Below are 24623 nucleotides of genomic sequence, written 5' to 3' on the forward strand. Positions count from 1 at the left end.
TCTGCAGACAGAGATAAGCTGTGTTTTCACATTTTTGTCTACAAAATTAATGATCTATAACTACAATAAAACCATCATCTCCTGTCACCAGTGGGGATCACAGGACATTCTAAGCTTAAAAAAACACCAGCAACACAAAATCTCAATGGCAAAAAGTGCAGATGTTTTTATTTTTCCTTTTCCTTCAATAGCGTTTTCATTTGTTAGAAACATGGAATCATAAAATGTTATTGTTGGAGCATTCCTAGGAGATTTTCTAGCCTAAGTCCTTTATTTACCAGGAAGGGGATGGAGGACGTGTTCAAGGATGCTGGGTCAGCAGGGGTGCTCGGTCCAGGACCTGGCCTCTCCATCATCAGCCTTGTTTTCCCTTCTTCAAGTGCCCATCAGTAAGTTTCAGTTCTCTGGCTGAGCTGGGGGGCCCCAGCCCAGTTCTTGAAAAGCCAGCTGCTGGAAGTTCCCCACCCTGCTCATTTCCTGCTGCCTCAACTGCACCTGCTGTCTCCAGACTCCGCTCCCTGCTCAGGACTCTGCTTCTGGCCACCTCCCTTATGCTTCTCTCAGACTCAGGGAACCTCTGAGGCAGGCTGACATTTCGCCTGTAGGCACCTGCATGGTGTACCAGTTGTCAAAACACTAAAATGTTTGCATTCCAATTGGTAAACAGCCACTGCCGGATCCCTAGAGGGCCCTCCCGCCTTCTCTTGACCACCAAGTAATCCAGCAGCTGAGGGGTTAAGAACCTGCAGGGGCCTCCAGGCCCCTGCTCTAGCCCTAAGGCAGATAACTGTTTTAATACCCTCCTGATTGTTAAGTATTTTCAAGACAAACCCTGCTAAAGAGCATGGACTCTGAAAGAGCATGGACTCTGCAGCCAGCCTGTCCGGGTTGAAACCCTGGTTTCTCTCCAGCTCTGTGATGGGACAGGTTGTTTAAACTCTCTAAGCCTCAGTCTCCCCATCTGCAAATAGGGATACACACTTCATAGGTTTGCTTTGAGACTCACACTAATAAAAATGTTCTGGTTTCTATCTTGCCAGTTCTCACTGCTAGCACCTCATACTTTCTTTCCATGTCCCTGCATCAACAGTGAGGATAACCTGGGGACTTGTCCTTGGGCTATACACAGCCACATACCAGAGGCTGGGAGAGGACAGAAGGCAGGCTCTGCCTGGGGATTTTTCTCCTGTATCATGCTGGTGAAGGCTACAACCTTCTGGGCCCTGCCCTCTGCCTGCCCCAGTGGACAACTGCTTCTTCCTGAGCAGAACCTCTGGCTCCACTTGAGCCAGCTCTCCCCTCCTGTCACCCATATTCCAATGATACCCAGGGCTGCTCTCAGCCCATTCAATGCCTTTGTGAGAGCTGAGAAAAGGTGGCCACTCTGGACAAGCATATGACTTGGCAGGTGAACCACAGGCTCAATTTCAGGCTCCAATCACACTCCCTTGGCCAGGCACCCTTGTGCAGTGCACATTCTGTACAACTGTATTTGGCATTCCTGCTGGCAGCACTCAGGAGCATTTAAGAAAAGTGCTAAGAGATTTGCAAACACTGGAGTATGTAAAGAAACAGCTAACTGCAATCATTAGTCTAAGCTTTGCTTCATAACCAAACAGCATGACTAATAAAGTGTCCCAAACTTGTCATTTATTTTCCTTTACTTTCACCTTCAGCCAACTCACACCATCAAGTGTCCCAAACTCTTATTATTTATTAATAATCATTTGTTGAGGGCTTACTGTGTGCCAGGCTCTGAAGATACAGACATGACTACGACCTGAATTTTGAGAGAGAGGCAGCTGCATAGACCTGGTGCTCCAGCCCTGGGCTGTCAGAACACTGCACTGGGGTCAAGGGCAGAAGGCCCTTCTGGGGCTGGGGTCCAGGATGAGTGTGTGGCCTTGAGCAGGGAGAAACCAGCACTCTTCTCAGCTGGGCCTTTCTGGCAGGGCTGGCCTTTGCTCTGACTTCAGCTCCTCTAGTAGAGAAGCTCAGTTTTCATCACTTCCACCTGCACCCTCCCTGGAAGTCCCTCAACTAATGCATTTCTTTCTTTGGGAGGCCGAGGCTGAAGACTGACGTCTTCGCCCCGTTGGTCCCTGGAGGCGGGCTGCTGCCCCATTTGGGAGAGGACAGTGCACTCCTTGCACAACCTTTCAAGTACGGGCGCGTCAGAGCAACAGCACATTCAACCTGTGCGGGATTTGCAGACCAGCAAGTTTTGCCGACGCGTGCTCCCGGAACAGAATCACCTTTTGTACGGTATTAATGTAAAAGTTTCATTTAAAAGACACCAGCTGTGGTCCTACCCAGGTTTATTCATATGGGACCTTCACTGGGTCAACTTAATACTTAACTACTGCTTATTATCCCATCAGTCTTCAGGGACAACCCATGATCTAATTGCCTAGCATTTATGTTGCTTGGTAACCACAAATAGAGAATAATAGTTCTTAAAGGGGCAGTGTGGAATTTCATGCCCCTGCAGTGAAGTACACTTCATTTCCCAGAGCACCCTGTGTTTTTTAATTCAGTGAATAAAAATGTGTAATGAATAATTAATTATGTGCTTGGAGGCACAATAGCTGTCTACTTTTGAATATTCATCAGCGGCATTATTAATTCACTAGAAATCCCAGGGAGGAATGGGATAGGCTTTTAGCCTAGCTGGAGGACTTAACGATAATGCTTTGCAACACGCACAAACTTTTTTAAAGCTGACTTTTCTTTGGGAGTCGCTTTCTGGGTAATTTTCCTCTTTTAAGAACATTTCGCCGTGGCCCGGATTCCCGCGGAGCTGGTGGGACGCAGAGACCACCAGTGACCATGAAAAAGGCCCACTCTGGAACTCCTGTCTGGAAAGTCCATTAATAACCAGGCTCACTCGCCTCGTGAGGCCCGGGGTGTGCTAATGGGAGCGAGAAGCCTGGCCGCAGAGGCAGGAGCCCCCGTTCACTTCCAGAGAAGAAAGCAGCGTGCGCACTATGCCCTCTCTTAGAGGGGACCCTCTCCTGTCGTGGAGATGGGGACCTCGGCCATCCCTCTGCAGCCTGTGATGTATCCTGCATGGCTCCTGAGTAGCCTCTGAGGCCAGTGGTGTCAGACTCAGGGCTGGGATCCACGCCCCTAGGCCTCCCCGCCCAGTTCTAAACACCGATGCCAAGGCACCTCTCTGCCAAGGGTCCTGTACTGTTTCCTCTGCAGTTTTCTGAGATCTTCCATGCTAGTATAATTCCTCACCCCACTTTCTCTTTTAGTCCCAGAAAAATCTTCCTGGCCTCTCAATTGCGAGCTGCCTGCCTGACGCCCGCTCCTTCCTCCTCCCTTAATAACATAACCTCTACACCACGGGACAGCGCGGCACCCCACTGGACGATTACACTTCCCAGCCCACCTTGCGGCGGGAGATCATCATGTGACTGAGTTCTAGCCAATGAGAGGCATGTGGAAGTTGCTGGGCGGAACTTCTGTGGAGTCTTTCTGAAAGCAGGTGGAGAAGGAGTCCTGCTTGTTCTCAGCCTTCCTTTTTTCCTCCAGTCTGGGATGTAGATGAGATGGTTGAAGCTCCAGCAGTCATGGTGGATCATGAGGACACTCTGAGGATGGAAACAATGTGCTTGGAGGTTGAGTAAGAAAGACAGAAGGAGCTTGGATCCCTGCTGACTGTAGAACTCTCCCTCACAGCCTGAAAGTACCTCCTTCCAGCCTTTTTTCACATGAGAGAAATGAACCTCTAACTTGTTTAATCTGGATTATTCTGGGCTTTCTGTTGTGTGCAGTGGAACCCAATCTTCATCGAGTTCCCCTTCCCAAGAGTTCTGTCATTTTTCCTGCATTCTTTTTAGATTTCATAGCATTTACTCTTTCCGATAGATGTGAAAATTCTTTGAAAAGTTAACATCTTGAATAATGAAAGATAGCCTGTGCAACCCACGCAGAAGTAGGAGCTTTAAGCAAAGTTTTGTAGAGAGGACTGCAGAATTTCTCTGTGTGTCTCGCTGGGACCTCAGAATTTTTACCAGAAAAGGCAGGAGGGGACTGCCTGGTTTAAGCATCTCTCCCTAACTGTGGTTTGGAAAAGTTTTTTTAATTTGAGAATTTAAACAGTCAATACAAGGATTATTCCAACCTGGTTGATCCATGCTCTGAAATGAGAACTCCCATAGTTTATCATCTCTAAGATACTAAAATGCACAATATTTTAAATCAAGGAAGGAAAAATTCTGCCAGCTATAATTGTAAGATGCATCCTGATTCCAGAAATGTTAAATGTGAAGAGGTTGCTTTTTTAGATCAATGAAGTATGGTACATATAGTTAACCAAACAGTTAACTTAAGCATCATTATCCACAAGCAGCCAGAGACATACTACATAGAATTGTGCTGTTAACTTTCTGTTCTGCTCTTGCCAAGAAATAGGTGAGAACTTTCTGTATCCCAAGCAGATTTTGTTCCACAGTAAGTATACCAGGAAGGATACCACTTTCTGGAATTAGAACCTTATTTCTTTTGGAAAACATATTTGTCTCTAGATTGCTCAAAGTTTACTTTCTGTACTAATTCTCTCACTGGCGATGCTGGTGGTTTGCCTGCTCAGTAGAATACCCAGTGATGGTTACGCATTACCCAGATGTAGATTTTCTGTCGCTTGATCTTCTCTTCCTCTTGAGCTCTGTGTTCTCTGTGTGTGTTGGGCAGGTTGCACTTGCATTTTGATGATAAGAGGGACTTTCTTGTCTCTCTCTATCAGATGCCATCGATGGCCTGAGGCCACTGGATCACTTGCAGCTGGGGTGGACTGTTTCCAGCCCACCGACAGCTTCCCACCTCACGTACCTGGGGTTCTCTTGTTCTCTGTCTATGCGCTTTTCCCATTATCTCAGAAGTGGCTCAACCAGTGGTGGATGAATGCTCCAGCCTACCCATCCTCTGATGGGCAATTCTGAGGCCTGCCCACGTGGCTTCTCGGAGGGTCCCCAGCAGCATGAAGGTCCAGATTCCCCCAATAGTAACTCCTTAGCACATGCTCGTTGGGTTTCTTCCTTTCCCTGTCTGATTTTCCCTACTTCTTCGCTTGTACTTACTAGGATTGTCTCCCAAGTAAGCTACCTGCACCAAAGTCCTTTCACCAGGATCTACTTTGGAGGGAGCTCTTTATCAGAAAAAGCAACTTGCTTATTGGCATCCAGGTTGAAAATGTTTTCTTCCAGTAGGCAGGAATGTTGATACCATATAAAAAAATTTATTGCGGCCGAAGCTTAGGGGTTGTGATCTATTGTGTATGTCACAGTAATGGCTCCAGATGAGTCCACCCCCAGGTCTCTATGCCTGTGTGTAGTCCCCTCCTGCCTTGACTCTGGTCTAGGCTGTATGACTTTCTTTGGCCAATGAAACAACAGCAAATATGATGCAGGTGGAGACTGTAAGTGCTTGCACATTTGACTTTGCCCTCTTGGGGGATTTCTGCCAACATACAAAGAAGTCTGGTCTAGCTGTCTAGCCTAGTGGAGGACAAGACACCATATTGAGAACTGAGGCACCCCAACCAGCAGCCAGCACTGTCAGATGTGAATGGGGTTGCATTCACATGGTGGCTCAAAGGCCCTCCTGCACCAGACTCAAACTCGTAGACATCCAATTGTTTTAAACAGCCCCAATAAGCAAATTTTTAGCCAATTAGAGTGAGCGTTATTTGCATATCCTACAAATCAGTGCCCAACATCTGCTAACCATAGATAAGATAAACCTTGTAGATATAAAGATCCCTAATTTGCAGCTCTCTGACCCAGACTCCCCTCTGGGCTGCTGAATAACACCACGTGCATGTGTAAGACTCCTCTCCAGTCTCCCTCTCCCCCAGGAGTTCTTTTGCCCTCCGTCTTCCCTTTGCTCTCCTTTACCCTTCTGAGTGGTGGGCCCTGGACAGCGTCATACCGTGAGCAAGTTTTCTTGCATGCAAACCTGTCAAAGTGGCACCCAAATAAAGTTCACTGTGTACTACTGCCACCTCATGGTTATATCTTTTTACCTGATCAGCCATGGAATCCCCCAAACCCACTACAGTGGGGGAAGTCAGAAAAGACCGAACCCACTAAGGCTGATGCCCTGGGAGCTGTAAGCTGCTGAGAGGCTGCAAAAGCAGGGCACGATGATGGAGTAGAGACCCAGAGTAAGGAGGCCAAGAGAAGGGGGCAAGGAAGAAAGAAAAGTCTGCTGGGGCCAGAGAGGGAAAAGCTCCCAGAAATGGCAGAGTGTCAGAAGAAAGGAGAGGACAGCTGGTTTTATTAAGAGTTGCTATAGATTATGTAAATAATGGTCAAAATTCCTATTTGGATTTCCCCACTTTCAATGGGACGTTGTTTTGGGACTGTAACATTTGGGTCCAGGCTTTATATCTGACGCACAATGAATATCCTTCCCATATCTTTTTTTTTTAACCCTCTAGTAAAGCAATAAAAAGTTTCTTAGATTTTTCTATTTCTCCAAGTTCTTGACTGAGACATACTGCATTTGCTTTTAACAAGTGAAAACAATAATACCCTGCAGTCATAACTTAAGCCATCACCATTTTCCTCAGCAAAGTCACACTTTTATGAAAGTTTGCCAAGAAGTTTAAGTGCGTGGATTTAGATCAATGAAGACTTTCTTGCATTTTGTTCTTAGCTTGAATTGAGACTGGAAGTCATATTTACATGTATCTTTTACTCCTGGGAGTATAACACTGTGCTGATAATAACTGTAGGAAAGCAAGCAAACTCTACATTCCGGATTTGTCCCTGCTACCCCTATGCTTCAAGTGAGGAGTGGAGGAATCATGAGTAATAAATATGGAGATAAGAGAATGAAACTGGGAAATCAATTTACTGCAAAATATTTGCATCTTTTATTAAAAGAAACTGTGTATGAGACCCATAACAGGGTGTGATGATTTATATTTTGATTTGATGCATCTGCTCCATGCCTCTGGGAGAAGTGACGTTGCCCAGGCATCCATGCGGGACTCTTCTTTCCCATTGATCTCAAAGACTTGTGGTGTATTAGGGTTCAGAGGGACTGAATGTTGATTCTGTACCCCTTATTTTACAGAAAAGGAAACGGAGGTCTGGAGAAATGATGCAGGTTGGTGGCAAACCCAAGATTCACCTGGAAAAAATTCCATTCTCCTCAAAATGTAAGAAAATGTGATAAAGGGATAGAGTAAGAAAATGTGATAAAGGGATAAAGTAAGTCATAGAAGTGTGCATATCCACAGCCTTTTACATCTTTGCTAAAAGTTAGGGAGACAAGAATCCTTGTCTCCTATTCTGATAAAAACACACATAAACACAGCCGAATGCACATTTGAATATATTTGACATCTCTTTTGACAGAGATGGGAGAAATCGTTCACTGAATATATACGAGACTTTCCCACCCCCACCCTCTCCCTACTCCAAGAACAAGTTATAGCCAACAGATCCTCTTTTGGTGATGTGGTGGGGAATTTGTGGACTTGCTTTTTCCCTCTCCAAACCCTCTCTGTGACATAAAAATTATTTTTAAAAAGTGATGTCCCCATTGGCTACTGCTGATTATTTGACAATATGTGAAGCTTAGGAATTTCTACCCACTCAAAACCAGAAGGCCTGTGATGGTTAGCATCTTCCTTTTAGGTTGTCTGCAGTTGATGTCATTTGCAAGACCATAGTTCCATTTGGCGGCTTCCACTCTGGATTGATCTTCCCAGGAATCCACTCCTCCCTTTCAGCTGCTGCCCTACAGATTCGTGATGCTGCATTGCTTACGGTCCCCCATGCTGCTCAGGAAGCTCCCAATATTCATGGCCAGTACCTTCTCCCATTTCCTATAGAGGCTCTTCCAGACTCTCTCCACCATCCTTACCCTCTTTTCCTCTCAGAGTGTGACTGTGCCTTCTACTGGCTGGGGTAAACAGAAGCTGTTTGGATGTGCATGCAAAGCGTAGCTATTAGACTGCCTGCTTTTAGCATGATGCCTGGCATAGAGTAGCTACTGGATTCATGTTTGCCAAATGGTTGAATTAATGAGGCAGCAACCCTGGAGGTGCAGGTCCAGTGGAGCTGGGGTTCAGTCACAATGAACACAGGCATCTATGGATTAGGGGAAATGAAAGAATCCATTTGGATGTACCTTGTCTTAGAGTGGAAAGACTGGGATCTAGAGCGAGGTCTGTTGCCAGCTGTCCACATGACTTGCAGGAAATAATCCGTCCCCCATCAGTTCATTCATTCATACATTCACTCGTTATCCCATAAACCATCACTCAGCACTTGTTCCAAGCTGGGCATCATGGTAGACAATGAGAATGCAGACATAGTGAGATACGCTCACTGCCTATAGCATGCTCTGAGTCTTGTAAGAGACGTGAATAACTAAGCTAACATGGTGTGAATAGTCATGAGGCACTGAGTCAGGGGCAGTTCCAAGCAAGGAGATTTTATTCAGCTGGGGCAGGTGGTCAGGGACGAGAAGGGCATTGGAGCTGAGGCTTGACAGATGAGTTGGAATGTGGCAAGTGAAGAGAGATGGGAAAACAGGGGCCTCTCCTGGGCAGGAGGAAACTGGGAGGGAAGCAAGTTCTGAAGGTCTGAAGGATTAGGAGCCTTTGTGAATTTCTACCTACAGAGGAAAAGCTGGTGGGAGAATATCCTTTAGCCGGGCCACAAAGTTCCCATGAGGCTGCTGGGGAATCAAGTCCAGGGCTTGCTGTCATTTCAGATGGAAAAGATGGCTGGTGAGAGGGGCACTGACAAGATTCCTGGTGTCTATTTGTTATTAGCCTTTTGAACTTGTCTCTGCCTTGGGTTTGCAGGACTCCCGGGCTTGCTTGCATTTGCAAACACGGAGTTTGCCTTTGTGGTGTAGATGAGGAAATTGGGTCCCAGAGACGACAAGACAGGTCCAAAGTCACATACAGCCATGTGCAGCCAAAATGTTAGGTGGCATTACTCACAGAGGCATTCAGTGATGAACTGAAAGTAGTGCTAGAAAGAATGGAGGTCAGAGGGAAGAAATCCACAGGACCCCATTCATTAGCAATCTGGTCCACACAGAGCTTTTAAAGGTTGGAGTGAATATTGGATGCTTCCTCTGCTTCTTGGGCCTATTTCTCCTTCTAATTCTAAAGTACCCCAGCTGCCTTCTGGAGTATTACCTCTTCTCCTTTGCATTCTGGAAGGAGCTGTCATTCAAAGGGCCCTTTACTTCTCTAGACAAATAATGGGCACATGACCCAAGCTCAACCAATGAGATTCTCTCCTGAAATTTTTGAGCACAGACAGACATGTATTATTAAAAAAGGGGCTGATGCTGGTTCATCGCAACAATGGCCTGTGAGGGACACTATATAGTCCTGGCTATCTACAGAACCAGAGTTGCCCTGGTCCTGTCTGTATGTATCTAGTCTGGCTTTCCCTTCACTTCCGTGAGGACCTCCATATATGTGGTCTTTGGGTGGGCTAATCTCTCTCACTTAGCCTCAGTTTCTTCATTCATATAGTGAGATAATAATACCACCTTGCTGTGCTGTTGTGATGATCAAGTGAGCCAATGGGGTGAATGAATGCATTCTGCAAACCGTAAAGTGCTCTAGGCATGGGAGCGGCTGTTATTATTGTGAATATTATTAAGGGACAGCTAGTGGTCACAGAAAGCACAGCCTGAGAGTGTTTCAGCTGGTCCTAATGAGCATTCATTGTTGCTTTCTCCAGTGGTTCCTTTTAAAATGCATCATGGAGGGAGCTCAGGGGGAATATACTCTGCTGAATTCATAGTTTTGCATACTGTTCATTAAAATGAGTTTCTAAAAATAGATTCAGGTCAGAGAAGGTGTCCCAGACAGGAACGTTTATCAGAGCTTGACCCAAATCCCTGTGATCTCGTTTTCCAACAGCCCAGCTGCCTGGGGAGACAGACCTGACCCGGCTCAGACTTTGTGGCCATTTTCTGTCTGTAGAGAGATGTGGAGCCTTTCCCTGCACCTTTGTGACATGAAGTCCCACCTGGCACCAAAGCCTTCTAAAGTGCTGGAGCCGAAGTGGGCTCTAGGATCCTGTCCTTTCCTGCTTTGAAATAGCTTTCTTCTTTGACAGCAGTTGGAGTCATGAGTGCAGATCTGATGGGCTCACCTGTCATGTGCCCCATGACTCCAATTTGTGCCTCTAGTCCGGGCTGATTTTCTGAGTTTCAAACCTGTGCAGGCTGAGCATCTCTCCTGGAAGGTCCATGAACCCACTTGCCTAGGATAAGCTCATTCCATACCACACCCCATTCCCAAACTTGGCCTCCTGCTCCTCCACCCACTGTGAGTTCAAGCCTGAGGGTTAGCTCCCCCACCGCCCCCCTCACACCCAGGCCCTGGAAAGTCCTGCTATATTCATCCTCTAAATACCTGTAGGCTCTGCCTACACTCTCCATCTCTCTCCATCTTCTCTTCTGCAAGCTCAGAGTGAAAAACCAAAAGCCTTTTTTTTTTCCCTGAATAGGAAGGAAGGGAAAAGAAGTAATGGTACATGGGAAGGAGAGGGATCTAGAATTTCTAAGGACAGACCCCTAAAAATCTCTTATTTCATACAGAGAAAAACTGCAGTTCTAAACAGGCAATAGACCAGGGCTGCCACTGGCCCATGGAATGTCTTTGTGAGAACAAGGAAAATGCGCCCTTTTCTCTAGGCTGATGTAGCCCTGTTCCAAGGTGCATGGCTTGGCAAGCAAAGTGCAGACTAGATTTCAACCTCTAATCACTGCCTTGTGCAGTAAGCCACGTGCACAACCATATAGGGCAGACTTGAAAATGACGCCTGAAATTCCACAACCAAAAGGCTGATAGGACTTCAGATGCATTTGGGGCTTTTTCCAGTGTACTCCTTGAGCTCATGGGGACCCCTTTCCCTCCAAAGCTGCAGCAGTATTTCAAAGTCACTGAAAATGCAGCCCCTGCCAGTACCCTCTGTCCTAGCATCTCAGTGGATTGGGATCTTTGTGATGAAGAGCAACAGGGTTTGCTCAGCAGTCATGACAATCTGGTGCTCTCAGATCAGAGGTGCTTTTTGCCTTGAACCAATGCTGGTGACACCTCGTGGCAAAAAAGGCAGTGCCTCCTTCAGTCCATCACCCATGGAGGCAGAAGCCTGCCCTCTTTATTCTAGAACTGAATTGTAGTCGCCTACATAATTTATAGAGGTGGTAATCACTCATTCGCTCAGAAAGTCATGCCAAATAAATGCCAATCATATCAGGCAAACTCTGAAGTCCTTCCCTGTACATCCCATATATGTTACCTCATAAAATTATCCCAACAGCTCCATGAAGCAGCATTATATCCTCATCCTCCACATTCACTAATAGGTAAACTGAGGCTTAAACATGGTTCATTGCAAATAGGGGCCAGAGCAGCATGGGCATGCACACCTTGAGTCCAAAACCCTTGCTCTTCTATCCTGCATCACTCTCTAGCGACCAGAAGATCTAAGTTCCTGATCCTGTTTGACTTCTAGGTCACTGTGATTTTGGGCAGGTGACTCTATGTCTCTGAACTTCCATTTCTTCATCTAAGAATGTCATCCCAGACTACTTTACAGGTTGTTACGATAAAAATAACAACAAAAATACTCAAAACATTAGGTAAGGCACTTTGAAAGGTGATCAGTGATATACAAATATGAGGCATTGCCAACTGATCCCAGCACAGGTGAGCCCCAGCAGGTCAGAGTAGTGGAGCCCGCTGACCTGCTGGCTGCCAAACAAGTCTTTACATTTGTAGGCTCGAGTGCCCTCCAAACAGCCCAATCAAAGTGGAGGAAGGAAACCCACAGGGTTATTTCCCATTGTACTTCTTTATATCCAATGATGACCCAGAGGCATCCCAAGTAGTTCTAGGAAATCAAAGAGATTTGGAAATGCATTGAAAGAGATGGTGGAGTCATGCCATTCAATTCATTTTCTCTGTTTTCTAAGTTTTTGGTGTTTTGGATATGACTTATAATGAAAGGAATCAATCTGTTATTTATTTATTTTTGAGACAGAGTCTCACACTGTCACCCAGGTTGTAGTGCAGTGGCGCCATCTTGGCTCATGGCAACCTCTGCCTCCTGGGTTCAAGCAATTCTCCTGCCTCAGCCTCCTGAGTAGCTGGGATTACAGGTGTGTGCCACCACACCTGGCTAATTTTTGTATTTTTTAAATTATACTTTAAGTTCTCGGGTACACGTGCAGAACGTGCAGGTTTGTTACATAGGTATGCAAGTGCCATGGTGGTTTGCTGCACCCACCAACCCATCATCTACATTAGGTATTTCTCCTAATGTATCCCTCTCCTAGCCCCACACTCCCCAACAGGCCCCGGTGTGTGATGTTCCCCTTCCTGTGTCCATGTGTTCTCATTGTTCAGCTCCCACTTATGAGTGAGAACATGTGGTGTTTGGTTCTCTGTTCTTGTGTTAGTTTGCTGAGAATGATGGTTTCCAGCTTCATCCATGTCCCTGCAAAGGACATGAACTCATCCTTTTTTATGGCTGCATAGTATTCTATGGTGTATATGTGCCACATTTTCTTTATCCAGTCTATCATTGATGGGCATTTTGGTTGATTCCAAGTCTTAGCTATTGTGAACAGTGCTGCAATAAACATATGTGTGCATGTGTCTTTATAGTAGAATGATTTATAATCCTTTGGGTATAATTTTTGTATTTTTAGTAGAGACAGGGTTTCACCATGTTGGCCAGGCTGGTCTTGAACTCCTGACTTCAGGTGATCTACCTGACTTGGACTCCCAAAGTGCTGGGATTATAGGCGTGAGCCACTGTTCTTGGCCTATTTTTTCAAAAGTGCAGTTCTTTCTGGTTACACATTGGTCAAATGTTAGGTTTCTAGCTGCCTCTCTGCTGCAGCCAGGGCGTTTCAGTGGAATTCAAAATTCTCCCTATTTTTCTTTTCAAATTCCCACCATCGAAGGGCAGACACTGGTTTTGTCCTCTCAGACCGTTGTGATGTTGGAGGTGGGCTGTGGCTGGTGAGGCAGGAGGCCAGTTGGAGGTCTCACTCTGGATGTTTGGCCTGGAGCTGTAGTTCTCAACTGGGGGTAGTTGTAGCTTGCAGGGGGACATTTCACAGTGCCATTTGTGTCTAGAGATATTTTTGGTTGTGTGACTGGGAAAATGTTCCTGGGATCTAGTGGGTAGAGGCTGTGGATGCTGCTCCACAACCTGTAATACACAGGACAACCCCTCCCCTTCTCCCCTGCCTGCCCTCCCCCACCAAAAAAAAACGTGTATGGCCTCAAATGTCAGTAGTGCAGGGCTGAGCGTTAAGAAGCCCTGGTATAGAGGAAATCTCTTGGCCTCTCTGGGCCTCAGTTTCCTCCTCTGAAAAACGCAGGTGAGGAGGTCATGCACTAGATGATGCCTAAGGTCCCTTAAAGCTTCAGCCATCTAATTTTATCTCTGGTTCCAGAGTGACTCAGAGGTTCTGCATCACTGGCTTCCTCTCCCTGTGACACCAAGACCCCATTATAGCATCTCCAATGCCAGGGCACCGCGTGACATGGCACTCAGCTGGGAGACACCAGCGGGGGGCCCTTTGCAGAGACAGTTGCTAGAAAATGCCAGCCTGGAAGGCAGACACTCTCAGCCCCCAAATCCTTTCTTTATTTGCTTGTTTTCCTGTCTCCTCCTTCAGTAAGGCACTGTGGGTTCTGCGTTGGCAGAGCTTTGGCTAATTGGACCTTCTCATCATCCTATCACATGAACACAGAGCCCAGCAACTGGCCCAGCCTTTCCAGCATGTTCTAGCTTTGGCTGATTTTTTTTGAGATGGGTCCCAGCAGCTGATATTTGATATCAGAGCCTCTCTCTCTCTTTGGCTTTTCATTCTACCCACTCAAGAACTTCCTCAGGCTCCACTTGGGCTGTGCCCCCTCCCATCCCTCATGCTCCAAGGTCCCTTTGTTCTTCTTCATCTGCATTTGAGTTGGCTGTCTAGTGGGCCTTGAGTCCTGACTCCACTGCATCCTATTTGTGTGATGTGATAGCTATGGAGCGGCGGCCCAGGTCTCCCTCCAGAGACCCTGCTGAAAGAGAGTCATAGGTAGAGAGCCTTCAGCTGCTACGTCTTCCAGTCCTAGGTAGCACTTACCTGAGATCATGGCCTTCCATGGTCATGGTGGGGTGATTGAACTGGACCATTTCTGCCTGACCAGGACTCCTCTTACAGGCAGTTTTTGCTCTGGGGTTACCCATCAGAGTGACCAATGCTTGCTCAGAGCTCCCTGTGGTTGGAGTCTCTTCCTACCCAATCCCCCTTCCTTCCCTCTGTCCTTTCCCAGGTATCGGACCTGGTGGAGTCATGCTGTTCAATACATTTTCTCTGTTTTCTAAGTTTTTGGCGCCCTGGATATGATTTATAATGAAAGGAATCAATCTATTATTTGTTTATTTATTCATTTTTTATTTTTAGACAAAGTCTCACTCTGTTGCCCAGGCTGGAGTGCAGTGCACCACTGTCTAAAGGCTCTCCCCTCCCACTCCTCCTTTGTCTCCCCTTCATCCCTCTTGCCATCTGCTTCTTGAAGGATCTGAACAGATGCATCTGAGCATGTCAGTGAACATCCCTGAGTCTCAGTTTCCTTGTCTGTGTAACAGAGAATCAGATTTGCTGCATTTCACAAGGTGATTTTGAGGATTAAATGACAAAAAAGATGTATAACTTTGTAAACAACGCAGTCAGGCAAATGTGATGCATTATTTTCTCCTCAAAGATTGCAGGTCTTAGGTCCCATTCCTTGGAGACCCCTGTAAACCAACAGCAGAAAAATGAGATTGCTTTTGATGTTTTAGTTGCAACTATTCTGTGTCAGGTGGGACTGCATCATGTTAAGTATCCCAAACTCCCACCTGCTAAATGCCAATAGCTTTTGCCATCCCCATTATTGCAACCATGAAAAATGACCTCCTACCATTTCTAAATGCCAGCTATTGGGGCTGCCTGGTTCCTGGTTGAGAACCACTGTGCTGAACTCTGTCCAGCTGATATGTTAGTAGGTTAGTAGATCCTCATCCTCCCTAAGTATACACTTCAACTTGGGCCTTGGGGGCCTCAAGTCAGAGGAATTAGTGCTGTGGACCTTCTAAACACTGGGCCAAGGCAAGGATGAGTGGTTTCTGGGGAGGAATTAATCACACCCCAATCGGGTGTTGGCACAATGACTACCAAGGGCAACACCTGGTATGGCACTGAACACTCTATTGACAAAATGTAACAGAAAGCCCAATCACTAGAAGTTCAAATATCCTGGAATGGGCAGCCAGAGGCTGGGTTTGGAAAGTTCCATTATGCAGAGATAGGATTTTTAGGGGACATCAACCACAGCCAAGAGGAATGGCTGGCAGCCAGTCATTATCAGGCAAGAGATCAGAGGTGTATCAGATCTATTAGAGCCCAGTTGGATTGTCCCAGTTCATCTACAGAGAGAATCTGATTCTTGAGGGGCTGACCTTGGATCCCCCTGGTGAGCAGCTACCCATGGGTTACAAGGTTCTCCTCTGAGGGTCTCACCCACCAAAGGGCCAGCAGAGAGCTCAGAAGGGAGGCTAGGAGGCTAGGAAGGGAGGCTCCAGGTGTCTTTTTACAGCCTTTGATAATGTAAGATTTGCTTTGTGGCTGCTTCTTCTATTTTCACTGACATCCTCTCTTATTTATTTTTTGAATGTAGTTAACATTTGAATATAGTTTTGTTACATGCCTTATTCCTTTATGGAATAAGAAGGTGGGAGAAACAAATTTGTGAAATAATAAATACACCTTTTGATGCACTCAAATCACTCTCATATCAGGCTGACTACTGTATCAGCCAGAAAGTCTGCCCTGACCATGGTCAGCAGCTACAGCTGGTGGGAAACTCCATCTTCCAGAATCTTCTTCACTGCCCACTTGGAAATGTTTCCTGCTGTTTATCTTCTCCAGGCATCTTGTTGCCTTTGCTTTTGATTCATGGCATCTGGGGAAATTCTTGCTCTCCAAGAGGCCATGCAACTCTAGATGAATCACTTAGCCTCCTACAGTTCCTTAGCTTTAAAGTTGTGATAACAACAATACCTTCTCTGCCTGACTCAGAGGGTCATTGGAGAATGGTTGAGAAACTGTAACAGAGGTGAGATCTTGTTTGCAAAAATGGCCACAATTGTTCTTCAGCCTGTATCCTTGCAATCCAATTTTGTAGCTCCTCTCAGTGGGTGACATTTGTTTCTTGACCCCATGAATCTGGTTTTGTGACTTGCTTTCATCAGTAGAGTGAAGCAGAAGTGATAGCATGCCAGTTCTGAACCTCCACCCAAAAGACCCTGCATGCTACTGCTTGCTCTCTTGGACTCCTGCCTGCATTGTGTGAATGTGCTCAGCCTGGCCTGCTGGAGGATGAGAGCATATAAAGCAGAGATGAACTAGAGGCTGCTTAGACCAACACAGACCACCCAAACCTGAGCCAATCTGGAAGCTGACTACAATAGAATGAATGAACCCAGTCAAGACCAGAAGACCCAACAAGCAAAGCCCAGTCCAAATAGCCCACACCTGGAGTCATAAGCAAAATATATGGTCACTTTTTGAAGCCATGCAATTTTGGGATAGTTTGTTATGCAGCAAAAGCTGACTGATGCACTTGGTGTACAGTAGAGGAAAGCTCAGTGGCATTAAGGCCAGGTATTGTGAAGCCAGGATGGGGAGATCTGGGCAGCTCTTGAGGAAGTGCAGGGCAGTGAGATTCCAGAGCAGCTGCCACCCCTCTGCACCCTCAGGTCAGGCAAGGAAGTGCTGAGCAGTTGGGTATCAGATGTCAGGGACCCAAATTGCATGCAAGCAGAAAAAAAATATCTAAGGTTGTTATTTATAGCAAAAATTTAAACAGGGAAGCTCTGTCAGTTTTCTGAATTACTGACAGTTGCAGAAATGTTAATACAAAGCTTTATAAGACTGGCCAGATGTTCGATATTAAACAAGCATCTGTTTTGTATAAGAGACTTTTTATGCCCCCAGCACACTGTCTCTTTCTCTCTCTCCCCTTCTCATCCCCCTTTATTTGTCCTGATCCCAGGCTGGATCAGGGCAATGGCTGAGGGTAATTGCCTCAGCTACAGTTTTATTTAGTTTCTGAATGCTGGTGTCCATGGTGTCAAAAATACACCCCAAAAAATAACCCTGGGAAAGGTTAATAATGGCCTTTCTGGTGTCATATTCTGCACTTTATATGTTGTGGTAATTATTATCATTAGGGCTGTAAGAATGTCTAGTTATCTTTCTTAATCACATACTCTAAAGAAGTACTTCTGAACACATATCTATTATTTAATCAAAATCTCACAGTTATTGGCATTTGTGCTCCACCAGGGCTGTGTTTATTTTCTGTTTGCGAGGGGGAGCTTTGCCTCCCAGAAAAGAGGGGGCCCCGAGTCCATACCCACTTTCATCGCTGTCATAGCATGTGACACTTGGTGCTATTAATATCGGAGACACCAAACACATGTTATTACTCCCCACTCCCCCTTTTGACTGCATTCTAGGAAAAGCACTTTTATTAACAAATAAAGGGTCAAACACATGGCACAGATGAATCTTGCTGCCTGGAAGAGGAGATTTAGTGGGGCTGAGACCTTTGGGGATATGCTGTTTCCAGGGAGGGAGAGCAAAGCAGGTCAGTGGGGGCATTATGGACTCCCTGTGGTGGCCACCTTGAGGCGTACTTACCCATTGCTCAGGAGGGAACTGCTCATCAGAGGAAGGAGACTAACCCCTAAAGGGGGACCACTATGCTCTGCTTGTTTTGAGGGTGCTTCAAACCTCTCTTCTTCTTCGTAATCCTCACAATGACCCTGATATGGTTTGAATTTGCACCCCTGCCCAAATCTTATGTCAAATTGTAATCCCCAGTGTTGGAGGAGGGACGTGGTGGGAGGGGATTGGATCATGGGGGCAGATTTCCTCCATGCTGTTCTCATGATAGTGAGTGAGTTCTCATGAGATCTGGTTGTTTTACAGTGTGTGGCACCTTCCCTCTCTCTTCTTTCTGCTCCAGGCATGTAAGACGTGCCTCCTTCCTCTTTGCCTTCCACCATGATTGTAAGTTTCCTGAGGCCTCCCCAGCCATGCTTCCTGTACAGCTTCCAGAACCATGAGCCAATTAAACTTGCTTTCTTTATAAATTACCCAGTCTCAGGTAGTTCTTTATAGCAATGTGAGAATGGACTTACATAGACCCTATGCAGAATGTATCACTGTCACATTTTACAGATAGAGAAGTCAAGGATCCGAGAGACTTACTTGCTCAGGGTCACATAGCTTGTGAGCTGGAACTTGAGGCTACCGCTTGCTTGATTCTAATGTGTATGGTTTTATCATAAAGCCATGCATGCTTCCCAGCCAGCACTGGCCAAGACAGTGGCCACTCACCTTGTGTAGCTACTGAGCACTTGAAACGTGGCTAGTCCAAACTAAGATGTGCTTTAGATAAAAAAACACTCACTGGAGTTCCAAGACAAAGTACCAGGAAAAAAAAGACTATTCATTAGTAACTTTTAATATTGATTACATGTTAAAGAACATTTTGTATAATACATATTGGGTTAAACAAACTATATGATTAGAACTAATTTCACCATTTTCAAAACTTTTAAAAATGTCACTACTAGAAAATTTAAAATTATATCTGTGGCTTGCATTTGTGGCTCACATTGTATTTGGACAGCACTGTCCCCAACTGTAAGTCTCTGCATGCTTCTTCAACAACAGTTTGTCCTATTGCTTAAGAGCAGTGCTTTTCAATTGGGGGTGATTTTGTCCCCCAGGAGACATTTGGCAATGTTTGGAGGTGTTTTTGACTGCTGCAGCTTGCAATGGGGAGGGTGCTACTGTCATCTAGTGGGTGGAGGCTGAAGATGCTGCCAAACATCCTACCGCACACAGGACAGTCTCACAACAAAGCCTTGTCCAGCCCCAAATGTCACTCGTGCTGAGGGTGAGACGCCCCAGCGTAGAGACGTACCTTGTATACTTTGTTCTCCTGCTGGGGTCCCCAGGGATGTCAGCAGTGATTTAAGAGAAAGAGGAACACTGCTGTGATGGTGTCTGTATTGGTAGTTTCTTCCTCCATTTCCCTCTAGAACACCCTCCTTCCTGATTTTTTCACAGAATTAAAAACCAACATCTGACCATAATTGTCACATATCCCTGCCAAGTGACCTATATTTTTTGGAAACATATGCAAGGGTGGCTGTATGTCTTCAATGGCATTTTTAAGTAGCAAACTTCTTCTTTCCAGAAGAACACACAGCTCAAGTGAGGGCAGGAAATGCTATTGGAGTTGGGAAGATCTGGCTGGAGGAGGGGAAAGGGGGCTTCCTAGAGAAGAATGAAGGAGGGCTGACCCTGTGTTGGAAGCAGGCCCTCAGACAGACTTGGGGTGGAGGTCTTTGGGGCTGACATGAGCTCCAGCTGGGAGAAAAGGCCCAGGGAGAAGGAGCTGAGCCCTGGCTTGGGACACCTACAGCAGTGAAAATGATCCAGGCATGTAGCAGGTAAGGAAGGTCATTTTGCATTAGGGGTTGACTCTCCCTGGACCCTGGCAAAAGCGGTGGATTCTCTGGGCAACTGAGGTGGTACAGTGCTCCTGGAGGAGTTAGATATGGCTGAGGCAAACCCACAGGGGCCTGACAAGTGGAGGCCTGGGGGGGAAGTATGGAGAGCTGAGGTGCACCCTTCCCACTTTGAGCAGAGGGGAAGTACTCAGAGGGAAATGCAGTGCTGCCAGAAACTGGAGCCTTCAGGAGCAAGCAAAATAACTAATTGGCTCCAGTTTAGGGTCTGCTATGGTCTGATGTTTGTCCTGTGTTGAAACTCAACACCCAAGGAGATAGTATTAGGAGGTGGGGCCTTTGGGAGGTGATTAGGTCATGAGGGTGGAGCCCTCATGAATGGGATCAGTGCCCTTATAAAAGAGTCCCCAGAGTGCTACCTCACCCTTTCCACCAGTGCTTGCTTTCTTTTTTTTTAAATTTTTTTTTATTTTTGAGATGGAGTCTTGCTCTGTTGCCCAAGCTGGAGTGCAGTGGTGCAATCTCAGCTGACTACAACCTCTGTTTCCTGAGTTCAAGCAATTCTCCTGCCTCAGCCTCCCACGTAGCTGGGACTACAGGTGCATGCCACCATGCCCAGCTAATTTTTTTGTATTTTTCATAGAGATGGGGTTTCACCATGTTGGCAAGGCTGGTCTTGAACTCCTGGCCTCAAATGATTGGCCCACCTCAGCCTCCCCAAATGCTGGAATTACAGGTGTGAGCCACTGTGGCTGGCCTTCCACCGGTGCTTTCTGTGAACCAGAAAGTAGGCCCTCACCAGACGCTGAGTCTGCTAGCACCTTGATTTTGGACTTCCCTGCTTCCAGAACTGAGTGCAATAAATTGTGAAAAATAATAAGCTGTTGTTTAAAAGTGACTCAGTTTATCGTGTGTTATAGCAGCCCAAACAGAATAAAACAGGACCTAAATGTGTCCCCAGAGGGTGTGGCCTGGAAAATACATTTGTTACAGTTGTGTAATGGGCACAAAACTCAGACCATTAGCTTATGTGTGTAAGAAATTTTACTCATTTTCTCATTGCTAGCTGTGGCATAAATGGCCAGCTATTCACCAGGGATTCATGAATCCCTTCAGGAATGTCTGGGAATGGCTGTCCAGCCAGGCGAGCCCCTGGCCCCCAGCATCTAGGTGGGGTCACCGACTACTTCTCAGCAATGTCATTGCTAGGTTGTGGGTAAGAAACAGATGTGTCTTCTCTACCCAATCTTTTCTCCCTCATTCTTCTCCCTGTCTCTTGAACAACTTCCAGGTGGCTATCAAGGCCTAAGATGATCTTGGAAGCTGCAGGCTGAAGATGGCAGGGCCTGAGTCCCTGAGCTACTGTGTGGAGTAGAGCCCCACCTCCTGCTGACCAGGAATATAGGCACTGGTGGTTACATAAGTAAGGAATCAACTTCTGATACGTACAGTCGCTGAGATTTGGGGGTTTATGTGTTACGGCTGCTGATGTTACCTTAATTTCTATTTTGAACCCTGTAGTGGGCTGAATTATGTTCCTGCCAAGAACTATGTCTAAGTCCTCATCCCCAGTACGCGAGAATGTGACTTTATTTTAAAATAGCATTATTGCAGATGTATTGAAATTATGGATCTAGACTTGAAATCATCTTGGATTTAGGGTGGGCCTTGAATCCAATGATGAGTGTTCTTAGACAGAAAAGGAGGAGATGCGGAGAGAAACAGAGAAGAGATGATGTGAAGCCTGAGGCAGAGATTGGGGCGATGCATCTGCAAGTCAAGGTTAGCCCCCAGCAGGCAGGAGTGAGGCATGGAGCATATTTACCCTCAGAACCTCCAAGAGGAACCAATTTTTCCAACACCTTGATTTTAGTCTCCTGGTCTCTGGAGCTCTAAGAAAATAAACTTCCGTTGTTTTAAGCCACCCAGTTTGTGGTCATTGGTTAGGGCAGTCTTTGGAAACTAATCCAAATCCCATTCCACTGACTGATGTTCACCCAGTTGTGATTCTATGCGACCTCACTGCAGCTCTTTCCCGCCTCTCTCCAGGGTTCTAACTATGTCCCAGAGCCTTGCATAATGCGTGGAATGAGGCCAGGAAGCACAGCGTCTATTGCTCAGTCATTAGCCATCCATTATGCCACTGGCTGAGATGTGCATCATCTTCTCTGGTCTCCAAGCTTTGACCTGCTGATGTGCAGCTGAGCCATCGCTCATCCTGACCTTAACGCCTTTCCACATCAGACTGTATGGAAGTCACTTCCGCAGGCCCTCTCAGGGGGAGGGGCAGAGGCCAACTCTTGTCCTGGCCACTCTGAGGCTTCTAGAACATAGAAGAGACTGTCTCAGGTCCTCTCTGCCTAATACCCTGTGTAGCCATTTATACCTTAATGTTCTTTCTCCAGACTTAGTGCACCTTGCCTCTCCCCCATCATCATCCAGAAAAAGAGGGACAGACCCTATTGCTCCCAAGTCCTGCCCCATTACTTCTGAGTTTCTTCTCAATCTCCACTGTGCCTCCTGTGAGCCTCAGCCAGGTTTTAGAGGCAGGGCTGCTAGGGTTCGTGTTCCCTTCTTGGGCACCTACCACCATCAACCCTCTTAATTCCCTCCTGCCCTACTCTCTCCCCAGCAAAGGAAGTTTTAATCTCTAGTGTGGTGTGGTAGGTGGAATTCTAAGATGGTACACACACCCTGCATCTCGTTTCCTTGAGTGTGGGTGGGACCTGTGAATAAGCCATTTACATACCTTTTATAGATGTCACTGCCATGATTAAGTTACTCATAGGTTAGTTAGTTGGTTAGGCTAGTAACCTGCCATGATTAGGTTACTTATATGTAAAGATGAAGGGATGTTGCAGATGTAGTTAAGGTCTCTAATCCGCTGGCTGTAAATGGTTCAAAAGGAAGACTCTCCTGGTGGGCCTGACCTAATTAGGCAATCCCTTTAAAAGAGACACAGTGGGAGTTTGTGTACTGTGAGTCCCCGGAGGCCTCTCCAAGAAGCACAGGCTTTTGTTGCTTGAGTTAGGGACGTCTGAGAAATGGTAGGTGGGTTGCAGGTATTTTGAGAGGCATTCACGAAGCACCTATTATGTAACAGGCTGTGTGTTTAGACCACAGGGCTACAGAGATGGGTGTGAGTTCACAGCCAGCAGGAGAGGAGAGTCACATAATAATAATGATCACCTTGATTGAACACATCTTACTTTATGCCAGGCTCGACTGTAAGTGCCATATATTAGCTCACTTAATTCTTCCCATGACCTTGCTATGAAGGTGATATTATTATTGACATTTCATTTTCACAGATGCAAAAAACAGAAAGGTTGAGTAACTTGCCCAAAGTTATACAGTCAGATGGTAATAGATCCAGGATTGAGGCCAACCGGCTCCAAAATCCACACTCATTACTACCATGCAAGACTCCCTCTTGGGATAGAGAATAAAAAGCATACAAGTCTCCCTCCCCAAAAACAAAATAATCTGGATCCTCTTTCTTATTCTCTGGTAGGGTTGACTACACCCTTCACTTGTGTACCCATAGAATTTTGTTAAGATAAACTTAGAAATTTATATGTGTTCACAGTTTGTGGAGAAGAAGCGGGTGTATTGGTTTTGTAGCAATAATGATGTGCAGCAAATCCAAATCTCCAGGGTTTTCTAAATAAGCATTTCCTTCTCTCTGTGGGTCTTATGGCCTTCAGTTCAGATCCACTCTTGTCCCAGGATTGGGGCTGAGAATGCAATGACCACCTTGGACATGCCTTTTCCTTGCAAATGGCAGCAGCACAAGAGCACCAGGTCACGCTGTGCTCCTTAACGCCCCACCAAGAACTGTCATACCATCCTTCCACCCACGTTTCATTGGCTACAGCAAAGTCACCTGGTCAAGTCCACAGCCAATGGGGTGGGAAGTTGACTCCACTCCTAAGGAAGCCACAGTGAAGGCAGGGAAGGAAGGAAGACTGGTAAGAAAATGACAGGTGGCTTCCAGGCACTGATAGGAAGGGGTTTGAACCCAGAAGACAGGGAGAGATGAAGCTCATCCAGAAGGATGGGACCTCCCCCTGAGGGCTCGAGGAAAGTGGGCGAGGTCTGTGGCTGACACCCCTGAGCCTGTAGGTGTGGGGGCAAGAGGTGGCAGATGTTCAATCTCAGGCCTCTGTTTTCCCTGCAGAGTAGTGGGTGAGTCATTCCCAGAGGGTGAGCAGAGGAGGCCACGCCTCCAAAGAGTGTAGAGAGGGTTCCAAGTGCAGCTGACTCTGGGAATGTGTAAGGAGAGGAGCAGGGCCACGGCAGAGATGGCTGGGCAGTTTCAGGGCCCTACTGAAGCTGTAGAAGCTCCTGGCCTCAGGATGGAGGTTTTCTGGCCCCCACCTCCCGGAGGCTCCTTCCTTTTGCAAAACTATGACCTCTCTTCTGCCCACCACATTGACGCTGTCTCTCAGTCTGGGAATGAATAGGATGAGAGCGGTGGCAAACCATTTACAAAGGGAAGTTATGCATCTGGCCAATGGTGAAGGATTTCTTGAAGTCATTGCAAGTGATATTAGAGAACTGGTTGAACTACTGCAAAAGCCATTGGCAAAAGGAAGACCCACCTTAGAAGAGTTAGTGCTTAAAGTATAATAAAAATTAAAAAAAAAAAGAAAAACAGAAATGTAAAAAAAAAGAAGAGTTAGTGCTTAATTACCATCATGAGTGATGATCTGATTGATGTTTTGAATGATTTCATATCAACGGATAGAGAAAAGCCTTTGAGACAATGGATTAAATCCTTGATTTTTTAAAAAATAGATTTTATTACTATACTGGGAGGCCAAACATGGAATGAAGGATGTTATAACCTGTTGTCTTGCAATTTTGTTGGAAAAATCATGCCCCCTCACCAATTTACCACTTATTCATTCTAAGAATTAATGCACAGCTGCTGTTATAATTTAAATTTTATTAACTTTATTAAAAACAAGCTTGATTTTAAGATTTTTAGCTTAACTTTTTAAAACAAAGTGCATCTGTCAC

At 46.1% G+C, this 24623-nt stretch overlaps 1 long non-coding RNA gene across 1 annotated transcript, besides 2 other annotated features; it reads left to right on the forward strand.

The window, feature by feature from the left end:
* Window positions 342-431: an enhancer, noted in NCBI's record as "active region_8989". NCBI's record gives its function as "activates an Ori minimal core promoter by ATAC-STARR-seq in GM12878 lymphoblastoid cells {active_cell/tissue: GM12878}" and the evidence as "EXISTENCE:reporter gene assay evidence [ECO:0000049][PMID:35858748]".
* LOC105370645 (uncharacterized) lies at window positions 3490-21522 on the forward strand. Its single transcript, XR_944179.4, has 3 exons — window positions 3490-4461; window positions 7090-7174; window positions 20890-21522. It is a non-coding gene; the product is annotated as an uncharacterized LOC105370645 (long non-coding RNA).
* Window positions 15822-16487: an enhancer, noted in NCBI's record as "NANOG hESC enhancer chr14:97142464-97143129 (GRCh37/hg19 assembly coordinates)". NCBI's record gives its function as "activates a minimal SCP1, AML or CMV promoter by ChIP-STARR-seq in primed H9 embryonic stem cells {active_cell/tissue: H9 hESC(primed)}" and the evidence as "EXISTENCE:reporter gene assay evidence [ECO:0000049][PMID:30033119]".
* Window positions 21523-24623: the final 3101 nt, after the last annotated feature.

This window comes from Homo sapiens, chromosome 14 (genome assembly GCF_000001405.40).
Source record: "Homo sapiens chromosome 14, GRCh38.p14 Primary Assembly".
NCBI lineage: Eukaryota > Metazoa > Chordata > Mammalia > Primates > Hominidae > Homo > Homo sapiens.